Source organism: Homo sapiens, chromosome Y (genome assembly GCF_000001405.40).
Source record: "Homo sapiens chromosome Y, GRCh38.p14 Primary Assembly".
NCBI classification, from domain to species: domain Eukaryota; kingdom Metazoa; phylum Chordata; class Mammalia; order Primates; family Hominidae; genus Homo; species Homo sapiens.
The window spans coordinates 24,922,649-24,930,305 of record NC_000024.10 but is presented as its reverse complement, the minus strand read 5'-3'; the positions used below and the strand labels follow the sequence as shown (position 1 = coordinate 24,930,305).

General features: G+C 35.6%; 1 long non-coding RNA gene across 2 annotated transcripts; it reads right to left on the bottom strand.

Annotated features, from left to right (window-relative positions):
- Nucleotides 1-311: 311 nt before the first annotated feature.
- Nucleotides 312-3,649, bottom strand: LOC105377242 (uncharacterized). 2 transcript variants are annotated; one of them, XR_938671.3, is made up of 3 exons: nucleotides 3,471-3,649; nucleotides 2,744-2,808; nucleotides 312-412 (listed from the first exon to the last, which is right to left on the bottom strand). It is a non-coding gene; the product is annotated as an uncharacterized LOC105377242 (long non-coding RNA). The 2 variants fall into 2 exon arrangements; XR_938672.3 differs by having other exon boundaries at nucleotides 2,771-2,808.
- Nucleotides 3,650-7,657: the final 4,008 nt, after the last annotated feature.

The window sequence follows — 7,657 nt, the reverse complement described above, 5'->3', positions numbered from 1 at the left end:
CTAAAAAGAGAATTCAGTAAAGTTCCAGAATACCAAAATCAACATTAAAATTGAATTGCAATTCTTTCATTATTATTATTATTATTATTATTATTATACTTTAAGTTTTAGGGTACATGTGCACAACGTGCAGGTTTGTTACATATGTATACATGTGCCATGTTGGTGTGCTGCACCCATTAACTCCAACAATGATAGACTGGATTAAGAAAATGTGGCACATATACACCATGGAATACTATGCTGCCATAAAAAATGATGAGTTCATGTCCTTTGTAGAGACATGGATGAAGCTGGAAACCATCATTCTCAGCAAACTATCGCAAGGACAAAAAACCAAACACCGCACGTTCTCAATCACTGGTGGGAATTGAACAATGAATTGCACTTCTATACAGCACCAACAAATTATCTGAAAAAGAAAGAAAGAAAACAATCCTACTTACAATAGCAACAAGCACAATAAAATTACTTAGGAATACATTTAACCAAGAAGTTTAAATATCAGCATATAAAACACTGAGAAAATAAATTGAAGATGACACAAATAAAAAGAAAGACATCACATGTTCATGTATCAGAATTAATATTATTAAAATATCCATACTACCCAAGGTGATCTATAGGTTCATTGCAAACTCTATCAAAATTCCAATGGCAGCATTCTTCACAGATAGAGAAAAAATAATTCTAAGATTCATATGGAACCACAAAAAAACCTGACCAAAGCAATCTTGAGAAAGAAGAGCGAAGCTGGAGGCATCACATTTCCTGATTTCAAACTATGTTACAAAGCTATGTTAATCTAAAGAGTATGGTACTGGCATAAAAACAAACACATAGACTAATAGAACATCATGAGTTTGAATGGTACAGGTCCACTTATATGTGAATTTTCTTCTGTTTCTGTCACATCTGAGACAGCAAGACCAATCCTCCTCTTCCTTCTCTTCCTCAGTCTACCCAATAGGAACACAAGGAGTATGAAGACCTCTCCGCTTTGACTTAAGGAATAGTAAATATATTTTCTTTTCCTTATGATTTTCTTAATAACACCATCTTTTCTATAGTTTACTTTAGCGTACAAATACAGTATATAATACATATACAAAATACATGTTAATCAAGTGTTTACGTTATTGGTAAGGCTATTGGTCAATAGTAGGCTATTAGTAGTTAAGCTTTTGGAGAATCAAGTTTTAAGGCCAAGGTAATTCAAGGCCCAGTCTGGGAAACATAGTGAGACCCCATGCCTTAAGAAAAAGTTATATGCTGATTTGCGACTATGCAGGGGTCAGTGCTCAAACTCCACGCTGTTCAAGGGTCAACAGTGTATTATATGCAGAATATAAGAGAGTTGAACTCATCAAAACATAGAGTACCATGGCAGTTGCCAGGGAATGGCGGTGGGGGAAATGGGTAGATTTTGACCAAAGGGGACAAACTTTCAGTTATAAGATGAGCAATTTCTGAGAATCTAATGTATAGCATGGGTGATAATGTATGTATTAATTAATTTGATTGTAGTAATTATACAATGTATTAGGTTGGTGCAAACTAATTGCACCAACCTAATTTAGGCATATCAAATAATTGCATTGTACACCTTGAGTATATACGCTCTTTGTCAATTAAATAAATAAAAATAAAAATGGTCAGATGAGTTTAATAATTAAGAATCTGAAAGAGGGAAAAGTCAGTTAGAATTTTGCTTGTAGTTACAGAATAGAGCCAAATATGTAAAATTTCCCTGTTCAATTAAAAATCACTAAAAAACTAACACTAATATGAATGTATGCTAATTCTGCAATGGTTTTGTACAGTGTGGTCATCTACAAGTTCAAATGCTACACAAGTATTCAAAAAATCATTGGGAAAGTGTTTCTAGTCTAATGCTAAGTGAGTAAAGGAGACTGAAAAATTGTGCCTAAACCTATGGGTGACAACTTTCCTTCTCACTATTAAAACTTGTTTCGAGCAATACTTTGTAATAAAATAGGAATGGAAACATTTTAAGGCTATTAACTTTTAATCAATGACTTAAAGACAGTCACTTATTTTTTTTTCTAAACTATTCAAAACCTAAACAGGTGGTATGGAGGAAAGACCTGCACTTTTTGAGGAGTTTGAATAATCAGGCAATTGACCACATCAAACAAATTAATCTCTAGGGAGAGGCTGAAAATCCCTTCTCCAAAATGCTTGAAACCAGAAGTGTTTCGGATTTGGCGGTTTTTTTGTTTGTTTGTTTTTGATTTTGATTTTGGAATATTTGCATATATATAATGAGATATCTGGGAGTGAGACCCAAATCTAAACATGGAATTCATTTATGTTTCATATATACCTTAGGCACATAGTCTGAAAGTAATTTTATACAACACCTTAAATAATTTTGTCTATGAAACAATGTTTTTGTACACTGAACCATCTGAAAGCAAAGGTTTCACTATCTCATATTAGCACTGAAAAACTTTCAGATTCAGGGGCATTTCTGGATTTGGGATTTTTGTATTAGGATGCACACATCCTGTACTGATTTTAAAAGAAGGCTTTCCTGGGAATGATGCAGCCCAATAGAAATGGCAACTACCATTAAAAGCAAAAAGCTAGATTGAAATATTATCAGAATAAGTTGCCACATCACTCATTATTCACTAAAACACTTCTATTCAAAAGGCCCAATTTTTGTAGATTCCTGAAGTAGGACTTGACACCAGGTATCACAAATTTACAAACTTACCACTTCAGCGTTTTAAAACTTTCTTACCAGGATCCCTGGTCTTCTGGGTGCCATGGAAACTCCAACTAGAAAAGAAAATGAAATTCCCTTCGGCTGGAAACTGTTCGTGTCATTCCTGAGCCCCCCTAGGTGTCTGTTGTAGATTATATAAGCTGCAGTTCGCAAATGCACTTTGCATTTGTTCCACAAACCCTGTTGAATGCTTGTTTTGTAGGAGGTTCCACATGCTGGGCAAAGAAGAATGAATAAAACACAGTCTCTGCCCTGGAAGAATTTACAAAGAAATAGTGGTACTACAGGTGCTGTGGAACAGCACAGAGTGTGTAAATGTTAGCTTAATGGTATCTTTCTAACATCAAACTTTTTTATTTCTTCTGTTTTCACACTCTCATTGCAAAAAACTCAAACAATTCAGAAAAGAATAAAGAAGAAAATTTAAAACTCTTTGAAATCCTACCATCAAGTAATAAGCATTGCTAACATTTGATGAACATCTTTCTTAAGCATTCATGTACTAAAAAAATGAGAATTACACCCTAAACGCTATTTTTATAAACTCAGTGCTATTTTTCAACATTCCTTTTCCTAATCAGGAGCATGTAGTAGATCTCATGAGATGCTGCATCTTTTTCTTAATGTGATGTCAGCTATTATCATTTATATGCATTGGCCTGTCATAAAAGTCTGCAGAATCTAACTAAAGCCACCTAGGTTCATTCACCTCTACCTTATCTTGCAGGTGCTGCCTCTTGTCCCAGTGTGGAAGGAACCCTGACCTTGCAATTGAAAGGCCTTGCTTCTGGTGCTGACCACGTTCTGACCCTCAGCCATCCCTTAAACCTCCCTAAGTTCCAATGTTCTCTTCTGTAAAACGAGGGTTGTAAATATTTGCCCTGCCTGCCTTCTTCCCACTGGCTATTCCCTCTGCCAAAAACTGGGCTACTTGACCTCCAGGAAGCTTGCATATGTGTCACTCTTTATTCTCCTTATCATCTTTCTCCTTCACTAGAACATAAAGCACTACAAGGGCAAACATTTTTGTATGCTTTGTTTCCCGATATTTCTGTCTAGAACAATGTCTAGTGTAGTAGATGACAAACAAATGCTTGCTGAATTAATTGGACAGAGCTGAACAGAGAATGGGAGGTGGGAAGACTGCCTCGCCACACAACTCTGGGGGAATCCTTCACATTGTAGTCCATGTGATGGCATCTCCTGGAAGTGTGCAACTGCACAGGCTTCACAGCTGTGCGGCAACCCCAACAACAACCGTGGAAGTACTCTGTCAAAGAGTATGAATTATTAAATAAAAATATTTTTTCTAGTAATGAAAAAATGTGAAAACAAATAAAGGAAAAAAATCATCTCAAATTCTTCAACCTAGTGATAATATCTTCGTTAGTATTTGCTGAACATCCTTCTAGACACTTCTCTACTGATATATATATATATATATATATATATATATATATATATATATCAATCTTCATTTTGCATAAGTGACATCATACCATAAATGCTATACTAGTATCTGCTTTTGTTTTTGCCCAATAGTATATTATAATCAGCTCTCTTTGTCAGTAAATACAAATCCATATCATCTCTGTAAACCAGGGGTCTGCAAATTAAGGCTCATAAGCCAATTCCACCTGGGTTTTGTGTTTTTTTTTTTTTTGGTAAATTAACAAAGTTTTATTGGAACATGAATGTGCTGATTCCTTTATGTACTATCTATGCCCATTGCTGTGCTACAATAGCAGAATCGATTATTTCTGACAGACACCATATGGCCCACAAATCTACAATACTTACTATCTATTCTTTTCCAGAAAAGTTTACCAGCCCTGCTTCGTAGCTGAGTATTAAATGGTATGAAAATACTCTATTTGAATTATTCCTCTATCAGAACATATTTACCTTGTTCCAATTTTTGTTGATAAATACGTCGTATACACATCTTTCAACTCATATCCAGTACATCACCTTGAGATAACTTCCTAGAAGTGGATTGGCTGGGCCAGACATGAACTCTATAAAGGTTCTTGATACACATGATTAAAATGCCCATGGCATGGAACCCTCATCTATTTCTGTGCTTTTGTATTTTCTGTGTGTATTTCAGTTTTGTTTAGTTGGCTCAAGTAAAATTAGTTCCTTTTGAAAACGTTCAGCTTGTATGAACTCAACTAAGGGTACCAGGAATTTCCATCCGCAACCCAGCCAGGAGTTTGCCAGAGGCCAGGAGAGCTCCTGTCCAGGCAGCTCCAAAGAGGCCAGGGGTCTGGTGAGGAATGGAGAAGAGCACGACTGAAAACTTAGAAGAGAGCAGCCAGGGACTGATGCCAGATCCGTTGACCCTGTCAAAAGATCTGAACTCTGCCCCACATTTGTCCTTTTGACCCCATCGAGTTAACCAGGAGTTTAGCCATCCATGCTCCACACAACTGTAGCTTTTCTTCTTCTTCTGTGCACCTATAACTCTGTCTCATTAGATTGCTCTGAAGTTTGTTATTGATTATCTAGGAAATAAATACAACCAACTTTTTGCCTATTTCCCAATTGTTACGGCTGGTAGAAATAATCAGCATAAAATAAAACTGACAACAGATGATACCACACATGGCAACAATGCTATTGGTTAAAAATGGAAAGAAGGCTCGCATCCTTTTGATAAAATGCATTCAAATTTTATTTTTTGTTTTTGTTTTTATTTTTTATTTCGATAGCTTTAGGGGTGCACGTGGTTTTTTGTTACATGGATGAATTGTATAGTGGTGAAGTCTGAAATTTTAGTGCACCCATCACCTGAGTAGTGTATATCGTACCCAATATGCAGCTTTTAGCCCTCATGCCTCACCCACCTTCTCCCCCTTTTGATTCTCTGATGTCCATTGTATAACTCTGAATGTCTTTGTGTCCTTATAGCTTAGCTCTCACTTATAACTGAGAACACATGGTTTCTGCATCTCCATTCTTAAGTTACTTCATTTGGAATAATGGCCTCCAGTTACACCCAAGTTGCTGCAAAAGACATTTTCTTTACATTTAGACTTGCAAAATTTGATGTCAGAGAGATTTGGATTTGGAAAACAAAAGCAAAAATTGCAGTGGTTGAAACTAAATAAGGAAAAATTAATGTGATACAAAAAAACTGATCAATGAATCTAATTTGTGTAAAAACAATGAAAATAAGGAAAGAATTGCAGTGAAAAGAAAGTTCAGTGAAATAAAATTAAACACAGCAAACATGGAAACTGGCTTTGCTGCATGGTACAGAATACAATCAAGGGATTAAATTGGCTTGAGATTGTGCTGGAAAATATTTTCTTGATGGAAAGCCACCTATGTTGGGGATGAAATTTCTTTAAACCGACAGCTAGACAAATAACTTTCTACTCATTATTGGACTTCTATAGTCAATTTTTCACAAGAATGTTGGAGTCTCTGAAATCACTAAAGCCCCAGTAAAAAGGAAAATGGAATCTCCTATCAGTTGCTGTATGTAGAACCTCTTTTGTAAGCAAGTGGCAGCCAATGTTAACACTTCTCACACTGACCTTAACAATTCTTAGAATATTAAAAAAATTCTGCACAGAAATTAAGTATTATGTACTTATTTCTAACAATTCCAAGGAGGTAAACATTATTGTACAATTTCAAAGTCTTTTTTATAGTGTACATTTAATAGCAAATAAGAGAATATTTTACAATTTGATTACATAATTTTACTTGTGAGTTTTGTAGGGTTTATGGGCCATATTATTTTTTACCCATCTACTATACTTATTTAATAGGCTTCTGGAGAGGATTTTATAATGTTACACTAGTTAGTCTTATTTTTATTAGAATATGCTTTTTACTGAAGATTTCCTATATCAAAGAAACAAAGGAGAAAAATAAAATACAAAAATTAGAAATCAGCCATAGCCTCTATGGAGTGCAGTCACCAAAGTGCCAATTCCAGAGGCAAAGTATTTTTGTTTTATTTATATTGTTATGGCTCATGTGGTGACTTCATTTAAAGACACTGTTCCCAAAGCTGAATTATGTATGAAAGCAAATACGGGAGACAGGAAGCAGGGAAGGAAAAGAGTAAAATCAAGAAAGCAACATCTCAAATACCATGAATGATCCCGTTACTTTTTCCCCCTCATCAAGATCGACTCAAGGCCTGGGCTGCACAATACTGAGAAAGACCAATTAAAAACTAAATTGTCTGAAATGACTGTGGTCACACAGGTGAAATTTTGTTTTCTTAAGAGAAAAAAGAAATTTGTCAGCTTCTTGAGGGCAGAAAAATATTGTTGTAGATCTCTATGTTGCCAACACTTAGTATAGAGCTAGTATAGTTATTTTTGAATAAATGAATGGGTAAGAAAAAAATAACGCACAAATGAAAATATGTCATTATTTAAATACTTGGGACTTGTCGGTCTAGTCTTGCTCAGTGGTTCTCAGTGGTTCTCAATATTGACTGCACATTACAATCATTTCGAGAGTTATTTTTTCTTCACTTTTTACTATGTATTATATACAGAGAAGTACACATTTCTAGGGGAGCTTTTAGAAACTGCTAATGACCCCTATAATGGTTTAAATTTAAGATACTGACAATATTGGTGGTGTGGCAAAAATGTAGGACAACTGAACACTCACACATCACTGGTGGATGTGTGAAATAGTACAACTACTTTGAAAAATGGTTTGGAGGTTAGGCACAGTGGCTCATGGCTGTAATCCCAGCACTTTGGTAGGCCGAGGAGGGTAGATCACGAGGTTAGGAGTTGGAGACCAGCCTGGCCAACATGGTGAAAACAACGCCTCTACTAAAAACACAAAAATTACCCGGGCATGGTGGCACGTGCCTGTAATCCCAGCTATTCAGAAGACTGAGGCAGGAGAATTGCTTGAACC